At 37.8% G+C, this 17,810-nt stretch overlaps 1 protein-coding gene and 1 long non-coding RNA gene across 7 annotated transcripts in view; one reads left to right on the top strand and one right to left on the bottom strand.

The window, feature by feature from the left end:
* MECOM (MDS1 and EVI1 complex locus) overlaps nt 1–17,810 on the top strand; it is a 580,206-nt gene that overhangs the window by 190,156 nt on the left and 372,240 nt on the right. The window lies entirely within an intron of this gene.
* The window catches only part of MECOM-AS1 (MECOM antisense RNA 1), a 29,186-nt gene that overhangs the window by 3,496 nt on the left and 7,880 nt on the right, over nt 1–17,810 (bottom strand). Inside the window, exons 2-4 of the long non-coding RNA NR_134932.1 lie at nt 9,435–9,613; nt 6,457–6,523; nt 3,360–3,412 (exon numbers count right to left, since the gene is read on the bottom strand). This is a non-coding gene — a long non-coding RNA (MECOM antisense RNA 1). The remainder of the gene's footprint in view (nt 1–3,359; nt 3,413–6,456; nt 6,524–9,434; nt 9,614–17,810) is intronic.

The raw sequence follows: 17,810 nt of genomic DNA, 5'->3' as shown, positions 1-17,810 counted from the left end.
CCTCATGATCCACCCACCTCAGCCTCCCATAGTGCTGGGATTACAGGCATGAGCCACCACGCCCTGCCGTATCTGGTGTTTAAACATATTTCTTCCTTCGCCTAACCTGTAGGACAGCAAGAAAGTAGTGACTTCTTAATGTTCTCAAAATCGTGTTGCTGAATTTCAAGTTTCACAATATTTAGGGATAGTGGTCTCTCTTTTCTCTTTTTTCAGTGGCTGGGAACCTCATATATTCGCTCTTGTGTTTTTGGCTAGCCTGTGGATTAGGATGAAGGCCAGATAAATCAGCAGTTTGTAGATAGGGTGATCATTCTGATCACCAGAGAAGTTTCAAAAGTACAAATTCCTGAATCTACTTCCAGACAGCCTTATTTACCTTAGAGATCTAATGTAGAAATCAGGATTCTGTATTTCTGACAAAGCTTCCAAGATTACTTTTGATTCTCTCACAGGTTGGAACCACTGTGGTGGACCTCCTTTTGGAAACCAGGAGACTGTTGGATGCTAATGACTCCTTCTCTAGGTTTTTCTCTGATTTAAAAATCTTTGACATTTGGCATGGTATCTGGGTGGTGTCTACATATTGATAACTACCAGGTAGGGACAAAGTAGGGGCCTAGTAAATATTTTGATTGATTTTTAGAACATGTGACATATTTGTCTTACCACAATAGTAAGCAGTCATTAAGACCTTGTCTTTGAACTTTATGTCGGTTAAACACATGATTAGGATTTTCTATAAATTGAACAATTTGAAAAAATGAACACTAAGGCTTATATTACTTTCTTTCCCTCCCTCTCTTCTTCCTTCCTTCCTTCCTTCCTTCCCCCTCCCTCCCTTTCTTCCTTTCCTTCCCTTCCCTTTCCTTTCCTCTCCTCTCCTTTCCTTTCCTTTCTTTTCTTTTCCTTTCCTTTCCTTTTCTTTTCTTTTCTTTTCTTTCCTTTCCTTTCCTTTCCTTTCCTTTCCTTTCCTCTCCTCTCCTCTCCTCTCCTCTCTTTTCTTTTCCTTTCCTTTCCTTTTCTTTTCTTTTCTTTCCTTTCCTTTCCTTTCCTTTCCTTTCCTTTCCTTTCCTTTCCTTTCCTTTCCTTCTTTCCCTTCCTTTCCTTTTCTCTCCTCTCCTTTCCTTTCCTTTCCTCTCCTCTCCTCTCCTCTATTATTTTTCCTTTTTTTTAGAGATGGGGTCTCACTATATTGCCCAGGCTGGATTCAAACTCCTGGGCTCAAGTGAACCTCCTGCCTCAGCCTCCTGAATATATTATTATTATTGTTTTTTTTTTTACACAATATTATAGGCACCATTGGGTGAACTAACCTCTTGAATGGGGAAATAAACTTTAATTTTTTTTTAATTTTTAATTTTTGTTGGTACACAGTTGGTGTGTATATTTATTGGGTATATGAGATATTTTGATACAGGCATACAATGTATAATAAGCACTATAGGGTAAATGGGGTATCCATCACCTCAAGCACTTATCCTTTCTTTGAGAGAAACACTCTTAGGATCCTTGCACATGTAGTCATGGCAAGATTTTGTTATATTTTAGAATTCCAGACAACATGAAGTCTAGCCCAAGTCTACACAGCTAAAGATCTTAAACTGAAAGTTCAAGACATGTGGACAACAAAACATGGTTGCTAAAATGAAGGGGGCATAAATAAATGCACATCATCAAAGTAAGTGGGCATAAATAGAATAGTAAGGAAAACTATTAAATAGAGTGAATTGTATAAATGGAAAATGGGAACTTACAAGGAGAAAAACAGAAGAGGGAAACGACATGGAAGTGCTTTGTTTGCCTCCAAAATTATACAAATGTGATTCCAGGCATTGTGATGAGGAGCCAGGAGGAAAGAATAAACAAGAAATTATAGGCACATAGCAAAGGAGAGTGGTTAACATATAGGACTTAGGCAATGTAGTGCAGTATCATGGGAGCTGAGAAATCTAAGGAAGAATAATTAATGCTCAGCTGGGATGGTACTTTCCTCCTTGTTGGATTCCTGGATATAAAGCCCAAAGAGCGTGTGACTTTTCTGAGAAGTTTCACTTAGTTTTCATCAGTGTTCTCCATTATCTGATTAAATGATAAATCTGCTTTCATTTAAATATATGTATTCAATGCTTGCTAGGTAGGAGTTACACAGGATAGGTGTCTAGAATTTAAAGCAGGAATTTTTTTTTTTTTCCTGAGGTAAACTTAGAAAGAAAAGCAGAAGCAAAAATAAAGGTAAAGAGATTTAAAAAAAAGAGACATTGAGGCTGGGTGTGGTGGCTCATGCCTGTAACCCCAGCACTTTGGGAAGCCGAGGCCAGTGTATTGCTTGAGCCCAGGAGTTAGAGACCAGCATGGGCAACATGGCTAAACCCTATCTCTACAAAAATACAAAAAATCAGACGGGCATGCTGGCACGTGCCTATAGTCCCAGCTACCCTGGAGGCTGAGGTGGGAGGGTTGTTTGAGCCTGGGGTGGGGATGGGGGTATTGGGGAAGTTGTGTGGAGAAGGGTTGGAGGAGGCTGCAGTGAGGCAAGGTCACACCACTGAACTCCAGCCTGGGTGACAGAGCCAGACCCTGTCTCAAAACAAACAAACAAAACAACAAACAAGCCCCCCTAAAACAAAAGGACATTAGGCATTTAAAAGTGTGCCTTATTGTAATAAAAAAATAGCTCAGACCCTCCTCTAGCTATTTGAATCTATCTCTAAATCTTTAAAATAGACATTTTTTTTTAACCTGTAGTAATTCCCCTGTGATTTTTAGTTTTGTTTGGTTTCTAGATGATAGATACACCAGATTCCTCATAACTTATACTCTGGCAATAGGACCATTAGGATTCTGAAAGTATTTCTTCCCGTTTTGACTTACTAGGCTTTCACATCAAGCACTGTGACATGCCTCAGAATTTCTCTCTCTGTGGCCAGGAATAGAACAGTCTAATACATATCACTTTCTTCCCTCTTGCCTGTCCCCTCCCCCTCATACACCTGTACCCCATGATTCCTGCTTTCATGGCAGAACTGTGACTGTGAAGTTGTGTTATTCTTCCAGCAGTGAGCTTCAACAGAAAGGACAGGGCTCCTAAAGGAATAAATTTGTATCTGGTTGCCAGGACCTCCAATGATCTGAGTGTGGTTTTGCTGTCATCAAGAAGCTCGTTTTTTCTCTCTTCCATTAGACTAAATACAAATCTTTGGAATTCTTGCTAATGTTAAAGTAAGAGTTTCCTAGACTTCAGAGTTTAAGTGTAGTCTCATAGGACTTCAGACCTTTTATTATTTTTTCCCCTGGCCTTTTCTTATGGCTATGAATAGAGGAAGTTGGAATGTATCTTTTGTGATTTGCTCTCTTACCTTCTAATTTGAAGAGCTCCTCAATAAGCTAGAATTGTTCCAACTCCAAGCTTCTGCAAAATAAAATTGTTTGTAATCATATACACTTTTGCATTGTTGGCACATGTGCTTGGCTACTTTTTTAATATAAAATACTTTTGGGTACCTTTCGGAGAAGAGGATAATTCAACAATTTATTTAAGAGTTGACTCCTCTGGAGCTTTAATATCATATCAGTTTCTTAGGAAGGCTAGCTGCTGGAAAGTTAATGTGTGATGACCACGTTCTCTGGTTGGGGGTTAATGAGTGCTATGGGCATTTTTTGCTTTAAGTGACTTGATTGGGTACCATCTTTTATGGCACCTGGGAAGCCAATTAATAGAGAAAGTGAGTTATTAATCTTTTCTCAGCTGTGCAAGAAAAAGAGTCAAAACATAACGGGTACATTCTTCTAAGTGTGAAAAATTACCCACTTTGTCTATTTCATATTTCTTAAATTCCAAAATTAATGACTTTTCTGGAAAAATGCATGTATCTCTGTGGACACAGAGTTTATGAATGCAAGGGGGCGTTGCTGGAGAGTTGAAAGGAGGACTTCTGGGTAGGAGAAAAAAACGTACACCTTGAAATGTACATTTTTCATACTTTCACATAATTAGTTTTTCAGAAGGACTATTGTGGAGATAAGCTGCTTTTCTAAAAGCAGCTATATTTAGCTGATGCTAAAACAGGGGTGATAGGTAGTAGTTTTGATTTTAAGTCACTCATAGGTTATTTTGCTGGGCTTTTGGCAATTTTACTTTTGGTTGATAAAACCACATCTCAGATTTAGGTTCCTATGCAACTGCTGGAATACTAAGACATTGTAGATATAGACTCCCTGCTGGCTTCCTACTGACAGGACACCTGATTGGTGACCTGTACTTCTTACTGTTCCACACATTTGTATCTTTCTTATACTGCTTGTTCTGCTAGGAGCACTCTCACCACCTTTACCTGGGAAACCTTGTTCATTCTTTAAGAATCAGCTCAGTCACCATCTCCTCCTGGAAAGTCATGACTGAGGCTCCAGATTGAGTTCAGTGCACTTCTGTTATAATCTGGCTCCTCCCCTTATGGAATTTGACTAGAATTGTAACGATCTGTCCCTGTGTCCATCTTTACTATTAGAATATTAATTTTTCTAGGCAATGTGACTTACGCTGCCCTAGAAAGACTGCTAGGATATTCTAACACCCATCACAGTGCCCAAAAATGTTTTTTGAGTTCAACCAAGACCATGATTACAATGGAATTATGAAGGTCTGCATTCAGATTCCTTGGTGGCAGTCTGCCTAGCAGGCACAGGGTAGATGAGGGGAGTCTGTTCCCAGGCGAGTTGTTGGCTGCTTTTGCATGAAGTAAGATCAAGTAAGATCAGAGTGGTTGTCATTTGACAAATTCCTTTCAAGCAATTGCTTCCATGTGTCAGAAATGGTTACAACAATTGCTACCATTATGCATTAATGATAATGCATTAACAATAATGCTTATAGCATTTGATTTCCTATAAAGTATTTTTCAAATATTTGTTATATCATTTGATACTAACAATGACATTGAGAAGCAAGGATTCCTTTTTATTACATTTTGCAGGTGAGAAAACTGATCCTGGAATGGATTCATTCATTCAACAAAATTTTGAGTGTATACTATGAGCTAGGCTCTGAGGCACGGGAAAGTAAATAAGACAAATATGGTCCCAATCTACACAGAGCTTACATTTTAATGGGAAAGACAGACCCTAAAAATTAATTACACAATTAATTGTTTAATTACAGCCCTGATTAGTGCTGTGAAGAATTAAGTACGTGTTTGTACACATAAAAGAGAGAACATGAGACCAGTGGAGCAGATCTTGTATGAAGAGTTAGAAAAATAACTTGTATAAGGGATGGGTATGTTGAAATAAAGGAAGGGGCAGGAGTTATCTGGGGAAGGGAAATGAGGAATCAGGGCATGGGAAGGAGATTTACACCTTTGAGCAGCTAAAAGGAAAAGTGTAGGGAACCCTGGGAGAGTGGGAGGAAACAGAGCAGGTGATAGGCAGATGAAAAAAAAAATTAGTGGGTTTTGTTAGTAAGAAGCACACGAAGACTGTTAGGTTTGTCTTTTACCGCAACTTCAAGCAATGGCTTTGGGGGAAAATGACTTGACATAAAAAGAGGAGAAGGGAGTTGGCCAGAAAAGTAACCACAGAGCCTGAGATAATGCAAAGCACCAAACGTTTTCAGATCTTAGAAGCCTTTTAACACATTTAAAGATGTTTATTTACATCCCTATTCCATGGTGATGAAAGCTGACCATGAGCTGGGTCATCTCAATTTTCTTTCCTATTGAGTTTCATTGTGGGGTGTTCACTCCAAGTTTTCCCAGGTCTTGTTGTAGCCGGTGAAAAGCTATGAACATTCTCAGCCTCATTTTAACTAAATTAACTAGACTTACAACCTCAGTGTCAGCGAACAATGAAAGCTTACCACTGAACATATAAAACAAAAATGAAATTAGCCAGCGGTAGGAGACTACAAACAGCTGAGGCATTCAATTGTTAGCTATTTGAAGGATTAATTTCTAAATCATGTAGAGCTCCCTTGGTAGTTTAACTAGTTGGACACTCAAGGGTATATAAAAACACACTTAAAGTAGAAATGTATTTCTTCACCTATAAAATAGAGATTTACTGGCAGGTTGTGATATTATTAATACTGGATTTCCTTGCCTTGGCCCGTGAACTTAATCATATTTTCCTTTGCTTTCCTCACTTGCAGTCTTGCAACTAGGTTTCAAAACAGATACTATAGAATCAACTACATCCCCAGTCAGGTAGGAGGACATAACTGTCTAGGTGGACTGCTGAAGAATTGTCTAAAAATCTCTGCTTATTTTTCTGGAATTCTACTCTTGCCCTGTGCTATTGTTTTCCACACCCCAGATTTACACAGCTCATTGAAAATTCAACCAGGCTTAAAGATTTTATTTGATGGTTATTTCAATAATAATTATGGAGGCTGCCAAACTCTCCTTACCCTGTTAAAAAACAAACAAGAAATAAACCTGCCATCATAACAATAAAACTCACCAGTAAGTTGTTTTCACGATATCTTGAAATTCAGTTTGGTGTTTCTTGCAGGATTGGTAGACCTGTTCTGAATTTACAGCCAAAGAAACTCAATTAACGATTACTATCAATTATTTTTGTACATTTCAACAACATTTGTTGAGAACCCAGAAGCTTTTTGAAAAAGAATGTTGGCAACTTGTATTTTAATATTTCATTAAAACAAGTCCACTAGTTCACCTAAGTAAGTGTTTATTCAATTGGAGGCTAATTGAATAATTAGGATTGATGAATTTTATATGGAGTTTTTCTTTTTTTAAACCCAGGTTAGAAGGCAGCTGGAAGAGGCTATTTTCTGACTGTTTCCTATTACCAGAATCTCTCTCTATGTATCTGTATCTATAACTTTCCCCATCCCCAAATCATTTTCAGGAAAGAGCCACAAACTGGCATGTTTCTTTTCTTTCTTTATTTAAAGAGGCCGAAGTGAAAGAGGAAAAAAAAGAGTGGAATCACCAAGAAAACCCCAAACAAATAAAGTGCAAACACAGAGTGACAAGCACACTCAGACTCTGGATTGGTTATGGATGAGACGACAAGTATATGATGAAATTAATGACCCTCTGTCAACTTTTTAGATCTCACTTTTAAAGAGAATGGACCAAAAATCAATAGCCCCCAAACCACCAGTACTCCAGTGAACCAGTCTTTCATTTATCTTGCTGTTGGCACTCAGATAGAAATGCAGCCAAGCACAGCGCAGAGCCTTCACTGGGAGTCATCATCACAGGCAATGTTGGAGCACCCCAGTTAAGGGTCAAAGGTGTGTACCAAGGCTTCTTTGAGAAGGACCTGCTTCTAAATACCAACATCAGTATTCACTTTATTCAGCTGAAGTCCATTTGGCATATGCATATCCAGTGTTTGGGTTTTGAGAGGCTGCCTGTTGGACTGATGGATTCCTAACCCAGCAATAGTAACGGATGGCCAGGGATTCTACTCACTCTGGTTTTATACCTTGATTCTTCAAATGTTATATCTCAAGTGTTCAGATGGCAACAAAATACAACTTTAGAATCAAAGTAAAGTAGACATACAAGTTTTAAAGATGTGAGTTTGTAAGGACATGTGATTTTTACACCATGACTTCATCATGGTTCCTAAGTAGCATAGTGTTTGAAGAACTCTTGTTAGAAAAGGATCAGGTAAAATGTAGAGTTTATATTCAGAATATTATGAGCTAAAGCCCAGAAGAACTGTAATTGAGCAAAAGAAGAAAACATTTAAAACAGCAGATGAGTTGTAATTGAGCTTGTAATTTTTATGGATATTCTTAGAAGTAATCACTTATCTCCAAGATTGAATTTTCTAGAAATAAAATTGTTTAGTATATCATGAGGATTTTCTTATGGTGAGAAAGTCATATTAAAATGTGAAAGATAAATTAATCTACACCAAGTGTTCAATAGCTCTGTTAACAGCTGAGGCCAAAGTGAAATGAAGTGATGTCATTATGTTAAAATGGATGTCGACACATACAGAAAAAATCAGTGTAAAATGAGAGAGATCACATTTTGATGATAATCTAAGACAAGCAAAGTGTTGGCCATTTATCTGGCTTTGTCCAAATGGAATTTAATCAATGGCTGTCTTTAAGGTTTTTATTTTATTTTATTTATATAATGAATACTTATAGAGAACTTACTGTGTGCCAGCCACTATTCTGAGCACTTTATACATATTAAATAACAATACTAGGAATATGAAATAACAATTAAATAACAATACTAGGAAACAGATATTATTATCCCAGTTTTACAAATGTGCAAAAAGCACAGAGAGGTTAAGTAACTTGCCCAAGGGCACACGGCTAATTAGTGACAAAGCTGAGATTAAAACCCAGGCAGTTCAGCCCCAGAATTCATGCTCTTAACCTTTAAACAAGGCTGTCTTAAGAATGAAGAACTTAAAACATCAGAGGGAACTTAAATAAAGTACGAATATATAGGTGAAAAGAGCTTAAATTGAGAAATTTGTTAGTAATAAGAATTTTGTTTTTATTCTGATTCTAATATAAGTATTCATTGTAAGATTTTTAAAAGAAAAAATTCTTCCACATAAAAAAGAGGTGAATTGAGGAAACATTTTCAACATTTTAAATATTAAATATATTTGGCTTGATATTTGGAGCCTGACACAGTGACAGTAAGGAGAGAAAATCAGTAAACACTAAAAATTTACTATTTAATGTTTAATTTAATTTCTTAGTAGAAGAAAGAAAATTTGAATTTTGTATTCTCAACAAAGACAAAGATCTGATGATTATGACCATGAACAATGGTGGAGTTGCTCTTCTTCTCACCTGAATTGGGATAGCTGTATACAGAGGGAAGTTATACTGTATTATAAATTGATATAGAAGAAAAATACCGTTTAAAGGGATACATATGACCATAAAGCTCAATAGATTTAAATGAATAATATACAGTAATCCATCAGTTTCCTGAAGAACTTTCCCCACTTTTCCCCATGTAATGCCCTCCTAATTTGCTTTTTCAAATCCAGTGAGAATTAGAAAAAGCAGGTAGAATGAGAGTGAATAAAAGTAATAAGCAATGAATGAGGGTCCGTGGTGCTTTTCGAAAACTAGAGGGTGTGAGATCTACACGGCGAGACATCCTGATGGACAACAAGGAAGATTTTTTGGATAGTGTTTTGAGATTTTCTTTTGTTTCCAATCCAACAAAGAATCTTGCTGTTATGAAAAGGATCACAGAGATATGTTTTACATTTAAATGCCCATGCCAAGTGTAACTACATTTTTACATTCCAAAATTTAACAGACAACTGTTTTGAAATGCTTTCAAAACAAAAATGTTCCGTGTCTCAACTGCTTTGGAAATGTTAGCAAAACTCCAAATGTAAATCTTTAATATGGCCATATGCAAGAATCCTCACACAAATGTTGTCTCAGGTGATAATAGGAATAGCATCATTACCTTGGATGTCCTGGCTCTGACATCCGTTGTGCTGTTGCTCTCAAGGGTTCTTTGGCCGGTGAGGTGGGCATGTGAGTCTTCTCTTCTGCCTGGTTTCCACTCTGTGGGTGTCTCTCAGCAAGCTTTGCAGAAACTTCGCAGATTAAGGAGGAACCTTCATTAGTCAAGGGCACATATCCCTTGAAGAAAAATAGGTGAATTAAAAAAAATTTTTTTGCAGTCGTACTTTTAGTTCTCCTAACAAAATTATATTTGATAAAAATATGATAGGCATCTGCACTTGATATCTGACACCATGACAGTGAAGGTGCAAATTACCATTTAAGAGGAAACAAAGGCCATCTTATTGCACTCTCCCAATTACTCCCAAATCCAATGGCAATTGGAGAAATGAAAAAAATTAAACGTATAACTTGATACATGTAAATATTTAAGGTTTTACTATCAAAGTAGAACAAGTTACACAGAATTTCTCATATGGCTACATCATCTAAATGAAAAGTTCAAATACATTTGAGGATGACCTTAGAGTTTAAAATATAATAATTTTCTTATTTTTATTCTGTTCCCATTCATACTGATTGAAGCTCATCTATCTGGAGGCAGAATCCACCTCCCTTGTTCATTTTATCCTTTAAGTAGAGATGACACTCAGCTGCTTAAATATTGCTTAACACCTTTAGCAAAACCAGATGCCAAGCTCCATTTTGTACACTTTTTTTCAGTTGAAATAACTAACTTAACCATTACAAATTAGTCTTTAAAACAAACCATCTGAACAACAAACTAAGTATGCCTAGGGAACAGATGGAGTTTTTATGTTTTCACATGAGCATCAAGCTAATATCTGTGCAAGATGAATGATGCCATATAGGAATCTCTGCTTAATCCTTCCATTTCCCAGTGGGGTGGTTTCTTTTTTAATGCCCGGTGCCTGGGAAAGGGAGTCCATTTCCTTATACTTAACTTGCATTGTAAAATTACATGTGTGTGTTATTTTGTATGCTCACAGACATATAAATGTGTGCCCACACTGTCCATGAAATATCTTGAACTGAGCATTTGTCCAAGTGCTTCATTAGCTTAAATGCTGAAAATGAGTTTTTATGCTTGCCAACAGGAAAACTTTTTGTCCTATTGAACTGGGCTTTGAAAAACAGCTTCTTATTTGGTAAATAAAAATTAGCCTTTATGTTTCTTACATGAGGTTGTTCTTTAAAATTTGCATGTTTTACAAAGTTTCATGAACAAATAATTTAGACACAAGAAAATTTTGTTTTTAAGAAATTTTCAAAATAATTATTCTGTAAATCCTAGAATATAGACTATATTTGCCTTTGGCATATACATTTACAAATAAAGACTACCTTTACAGTATTCATTAATGGCAACAGAGTTACTTGTTGAGTTTGAAAGAAAAAACCCCAAGCCCCTATCCAAGACTGTTTCCAGTTTTTCGTAAGGATGTTTTCCAGTGTGATACAGATAAGTAAATTTAACAGCATAAAAATTTCAAGTCTTCATTTTTTTCCATTAAGCTAAATAGAAAATTAACTGATTTGAGTGCTAACATATGAATTCAAGAAACACATATGGGACATCTAATTTTTGCCAGGAATGTAGTATACACTAAAGATTAATGTTGTAAAAGCAAAACTTCTCACTCCTTGCTCTCAGAGAGCTCCTAATCTAGAACATTGTTGTCTTCTTTTTTCTCTCCTGCCTGCTGGCAAAGATGGGAAAGAGCCCTAAGTAAAAACATCTGGCTGTCTGACATTAAGCCCATCATTCAGCATGTGTGCAATTTTCTCATCAACAGCTTAGTCTTTTGGTGTAAGAATAATATTACATCTATATAATGCTTGAACTCTGGCATGTTGAGCTGTTACCTTTGATTGAGAGTATAGGCTTTCCCTGCTGTCTGCTGGGGCTACCTTCACTGGCTAGAGGATTGAGTTGTTGGTAGAATTTGTCTCTCACTGGATCTCTAGGTTCATGGAAAATCTGCTCAGAGGTGTCTAAAATTTACACTTTGGAATGCCACCAGGGTTTGGCGATTGAGAGCCCAGTTACACGCTAGTGTATTTGGAAATACACTAGCGAATATTTGGATAGTGAATTTGGAAAGGGATAACAAAGTTATATAACAAAGATGAAGAAAGAAGGTAGCTCTTCTTCAAAAATATCAGCCTATTATTTTTTGGTGACTAAATGTAAACTTAAAAAGCATGGCATGAAACCATCTCACCAGGGTTCCTACTGCTCCCATTGGTCTGTAAGATCCTTGGAATTGGCTGAAGCCTTTGATTTCCCATAAGATGCCTTAAATCATGCTTTCTATAAAGGTTAAAGAACTACTTTATCAGCTAGGTGTTTTGCTACTGCTACTTTTGCACACACAGGCAGCTGTGATTAACTTATATGCGTCTATAACTTACCACTTCCAAAAATTTATTTTTTCAAAAATGGAGAGCAATAGTTTGTGTTGTTCTATTGTTGTTTTTTTAGACCTGTGTGAGCTGGTTCAGAACTGCTGGAAATGTGGTACAGTGGGAACCAAGAAGCCTGGGTCTTTCATTGCTATTTATTGGCTAAATGACCTTCACCAAATCTCTGAAAACTTAAATTTTTCATATTTGAAAAATAAAGATTCTGTATAAGCGGAGGCACAGATGTCTTTGCAGTCCTAAAATTCTAGAGTTCTTCAAAACTTTGCCATGATGTCAGCTTCCTCTGGGCAATAACACTAGCCTGGTGTTTGTTGACAACTTTTTTATGTAAAAATGTCTTTCTGTTTGAACATCCATCTGCACCATGGTTTCTGTCCCAGATGATGAGTCAGATAAGACCACAGCTTCAATCATTTAGAAGCTGATCATTTTACAGCTAATCTTTCAACTAATTTAGAAAATAGATGAAGTACGAAAATAAGAGAGTAGGGGTGGCGCAAGTGGAAGATTCAACTCTAGCAGAACTGAACTGTTGTGTCCAATATCAATACACCCTGTTCTTGGGAGAAGATCCTTGATACAACTGCTTGTCTGTTTTAGAAAAAAAAAGAAAACATTGGTTTTCTCTAGGAGCTGGTGTTTAAGGCTGCAGATTTACTGGCTGAGAAGGAACAGGAAGGCAAGGAGGGCACCAAATAAAAGATAAGGATTATTTTCCAAAAAGGCCCTGGCCAACTGATACCTGAATCTGGAACATGATCTCCCATATATCTTGGACTCTCCCGTAAATTAATTGGTTCCCCTTTGTGGATGTTTTTGGCCCTTTTCTTATTTAATCCTTGTGTGGCACCATGCTTTGCTATCACACTGCCATTTCCTCTTTGCACTCTTGACAAAACCTGAGTCTATGGAACCTGTAATGGACAGGGCTAATGGGGGCCTTGTTGGTACTTGTCCAATTTCTTGCAAGGAGACTGAATCCACTCTCAGCGAGATTTGTTCTGAAGGGAAGAAGCCAAGTCTTGCCATGTAAAATAATAAATGTGTTTCAGATAACGTATTCTTGTACTTTTTTCCTAGAATAATTAGAACATTCATACAAATAGATTTATTTTCCTTGAAATGTATTTAATTGCCTCTGTTATAAATGACTTGTAAACATGTCCATGCCATCTAATCTTTCTGATTCTCAGTTTGTAAAATGAGGGTGCTGAATTCTATGATCTCTAAGGTCTTTTCCAACTCTAAATTCTATGACCCAATACTTCTATTGTTTAGACAAAAAATAGGTCTGTTCTGAAATGTTCTGTAAGTTAGGCAGCAATCCAAACTGACTTTTTAAGAATTCACATAAGAAAAAAAAATATTCTCACATAGAGTTCTATAGGATGAAGAGAGGGCCCATTCACTATTTGTTTGCTCTCTGTGGGAAAGCTATTCTTTTTTTTCCTCTTTGAACAATATAAGGAAACAACTTATCTTTTACAATTTTTGGATTCAGTTCATGGAGGGTGTCAGTATTGTCTAGTGTTCCCAGTGAGGACGTGGGAGTCTGAGATCCCAGGCCTGGTTCCCAGCTTTTCTGCTCCTTTTGTGACCTTCAGAAGCCACAAAACAACTCTCAAGACTCAGTTTATCTGCCTGAGAAATTGGGCTCTTACTTCTTTACCACAGGGAAAACCTATTCTTAAACATTTTGGAAAAGGATTACAGCAGCCTAAAGAGTTAAGAAGATTAACTTTAGTCTTTCGGGGTGTATACTAACGCCAGTCTCGGGTGCTTCTCCACTGCCTAGCACCAGATGCTTTTGCACAAGTAGTATAGGGTAGAGCATCACAGGCCTAATTCAGAAACTATAAGAATCCAACCAAAATGGGCCTGGCTTGAACTGCAGGTGACCCTTATACACCTGAAACAGGTTTGCTATGTAAAGTATTAGTAAATCAAGTTGAAAGATAAGCAAATGTAGGATTTGGAGCAGGGGACAGGTTGAGGGGGAAGGGGGAATACAAGCCTGATGATTTTGTTGGAAGCATCTACTTCTATATAAACAGTTATCATTTAAATTAAAATGAATCTTAGCTACAGCTTAGGCTGAGCAAATTGTCCTGCATTACTGCAGATATTTTCAGTAATAATTGAAAACTAAAAGCAAACTTCCTATATTATCTGGTCAACTTTTCAGGTAAAAACACTTGGTAAAGTGTAAAGAAAGTGTGACAAACTTAATATTGTTTTAGTGATTTCTCCAAATTAACATGAACCAGTGAAGTTTTACTATTGTCAGAAACTTGAAACAACCCAGATGTTCCTAAAAATCTCATGTATGGAGTGGGTAAATAATATTGCTTATAGTTTCATAGTAACTGCTTGACTCAGAAATAGTCAGGTTGTAAATTTCAAATCAATCCCTAGAACCTCACTGCACAAAACACCAGGTCAAGAAAATAATTATGTTTGAGGTTTACGGTTTAGGATCCAACTATAACATCAGATCAGCTTTTGTGAATAAGAGTACTATTTGATCAGGATTACATCAGTAAGCATGAAATGAGCACTTGGATTTCCCAAGCACATGTGAAAATGGGAAACGCTCTAAAACAACCTTCCCAATACAGGTAGAAATAGCCATTTTGGATATGTACTCCTTCGGCTTTTGTGTAAGGGAATCGAGTCATCATTCAGACATGTTTAAATGCTGCGCTTGAGCTGCTTTTTTGCAAGGTGTGAACATGCTGGAGCTGCACCATGATTCATCATATTAAACTTCATTTGGTAGAAACATTACAAGGGAATAGGTTCTCTGTTTCCTAGGAAGTGCCTCTGCTCTACATTACTTCCTAATCGCCCTGCTGGCCTCTGCCCCTTTATTTCTTTGTAGCCTCTACCCTTAGTCCAGTGTGCGGCTACATTTGGACCAGAGGCCCCCATCCTGTGAAAAATTTAGATGGCTATAGCAGTAATCAAAAAATACCAATAAAGTGTCACCAGTCCTCGCTGGTGATGTGGGATGGCGGGTGAGTGAGATATAAAAATGAATCATGAGGCAAGACATGATTGCTGCTCAGGCAACCATTTCTAAATGTGAGTGCACCCAGGTTGCATAAATGGTTCGGAATATTCTCCGTTAGGCCAAAAGGCTTGCAGATAACGGCATCAACTCATCAGGCTCCAAGGCCCCCAGGGACTCGGGAGCAGAAGAGTTGTTGCTCAAGTGGCCCAGCCAAAAACATTTATATCTCGGCGCTGTTGGATAAGTGGCATCTGCTGACAGGAACTGCTTGGAATAAAGTTGGTTTTAAAAAATAAGCACCACAGCTCTCTGTGTTTAATACAGGACACCACAGCTATATATGCTTAATGCAGGAAGCTTTCTGAGGTGTAAAGAATGGTTAAGTAAATGAGTGGGATACCATTAATCTTGGTTTGTTTCAGCACTACATCTTTAGCAGTTGAAGGCGGGGGTGGAAAAGAAAAAGACTTGCTCCTAGCTCATAACCTGAGTGTTAAAACTGATGTCCTTCCCATTAAGGCCTGTAAACTCATTAGCACATGGCAATTTATCCTCTTTTATTTCTTCTCAATTATCCTATCATCCATTGTATCTGGATCTGATTACCCTTTCCCAGAGTCAAACATTATCTTGTAAATCATTTGCTTTAAGTCCAAGCCTGCCATTGCGCAGCTTGGGATTTGCTTAGGCAGGTAATAAATCAATTAGTATTAAACCTGTGGTGTCATCTATTTTCTTTCCTCGTGCTTAGAAAAAGGAACACCTGAAAACCTAGCTTAGGTTACATCACATTTTCGTGTATGCTTTTGAACAATACAGACACATTTGCTCCTATTCCAAGGGGAAGAAAAGATAAGGGAAAACAAAACAAAAAAAGAAACCCAAATCCTCAGTGAGGGCCTGGAAGACTGATGGCATTACAGGTATGTGGCCCTCATATTTCAGAGGTGACATTTTTAGTAATAATTGGGAATATCTATTATTCAAACATGAATATCAGAGATTCCATTTAAGATGATAGTCTCAATTTTATCCTCAAAATACAGTTATGGAGCCTAAAAGAAGATTGTGGTTCATTTTTTTCTTCTATTTGTCTTTTATGTATGTTCTGTTTCTTAGCACACATAAAAGTTGGCCTGATATGATCAGATAAGAAGAGTGAATAATTTTTAGGTGACTGTCCTCTCTTCCCCTATATATTCTAAAGGATGTCTCTTCTCCCTTTAAGTACTATACTAATTTACTTAATCATTTTATCTGCACTCCTGGAGCTAATGCTTAATCCTTTGGCCGAGTTTCTGAACAGAGAGCCCGACCAAACAATTGTAGCTCAAAATTAAGCCCTGTGAGTTCCTAAATTAAAAGAAAAAAATCATCTAGGGTATCTCAACAATGAGTAGCCTCTCCTAAGCGCTGCCCCATCCATGGGCTATATTAATTAGTGAAGATTCTGGCCCTTCTGCTCGGGGAAGGGGTGCTTGGAAGGGACTGTCAAACACATGGCAGGGCCCCAGCAGGGGAGCTGGTTTTAGCTGTGGAGAACAGTGGTAGAGCTGTGAACAGAGCTGGAGAACGATGAGGTTGGAGGGATTGGATGGCAATGAGTAACAACTGGCCCTGGGTCTGGCTGCTGAGACGGCAGCCAGCCCAGCTCCCTGGATGTACTTTCCTCTTATACATCCTGCCACTGACCTGCCTCACATCAGGGCCTCCTGCCTGCTTCCAGTGGTTCTTCTGGTTTCAGTCCTTGGTTTTCACATTAGAAAAGCACACCCGGCGAGAACATGTGTGTGTTCTTCCTCCTATGGGTGGAGGGAAGAATCCTAATTTAGTAGTTTGTTTATTACTAATACTGGTTAAACTTTCAGTGCGTAGTATTATGGTGGGTACAGGGGTCGCAGATAACCATGCAGCTATGTGGTCCCACCTTTACGGAGGGGATGATGGAAAGCACCTCTGGAATGGTGCAAAGTCCCTCCCCTAGGACAGGGAATTTGAATCGTGGAGTGGGCTTGTTAAAATGCAGACTCTGATTCAGCAGGTCCGTGGTGGGTTTGGAATTCTGCATTTGCAACCAGCTCCCAGTTGACATGGATGCTGACAGTCCATGGCACTTTATATTTTCTTTTCTCATGGCAAGAGTAACTTTTCAGCCATTTACCATATTATTGTTGTTTACAAATGCATCCCTTATTTCCCACTAGGTTCCAAGCCCCTTGAAAATATACTGTTACTGACTTGGTGAATATATAATGATTAATTGCCTTGATTTGTCAACTAGGGGGTCTGGAATCTAAACCCACTTCTGCTGCAAATGAATTTCGTGACAATGATCACTTTCACTGAAATCCCCCCATCTCTATATTGTACAATGCAAGGAGCAGGTGTGGACTAGAATTTGGGTGTTATTTAAAAGCAAGAGCAGGACCCAGGTGTGAATGAAGGAAAAGACTCATGTAGTGGTGGGTCACAGGGAACCCAAGAATGGATATCATGTCTTTAGGGCTCTAGAATTTTTTTTTCTTCCCAGAATGTGGATCCCATGTTGCCAGACCATATAAATTTCCAAGAAGGTGGAAATCTGATTTTTTAAATTAATGTAAAAATCCTCTCACTTTTAAGTGTTGACAAGTAAAATAATTTTTTTAAAAGGAAAAGAAACACTGATAATGAAATGATAACTTTTGCAGGCCAAAGACTGCCTAGTTCGCAGCCTCTGGCTTGGACTAGGCTCAAAAGCTTTCTACCAGCAAACACATAAGAACTACATTCACAAACAGCAGCCACGTCAAACCAATAAGAGCAACATTCATGATGGACAAACCAAACCAATTCCAATGGTGGTTTGGAAGTGGCTGGTGTCTCAGAGCTCTGGACATAGGATCCTGAGTTTCATATATAAGACTGGTGGAA

The sequence above is a fragment of the Homo sapiens genome, chromosome 3, assembly GCF_000001405.40.
Source record: "Homo sapiens chromosome 3, GRCh38.p14 Primary Assembly".
NCBI classification, from domain to species: Eukaryota; Metazoa; Chordata; class Mammalia; order Primates; family Hominidae; genus Homo; species Homo sapiens.
Note: the sequence above shows the minus strand (reverse complement) of the source record. Positions and strands in the feature narration are given on the sequence as shown.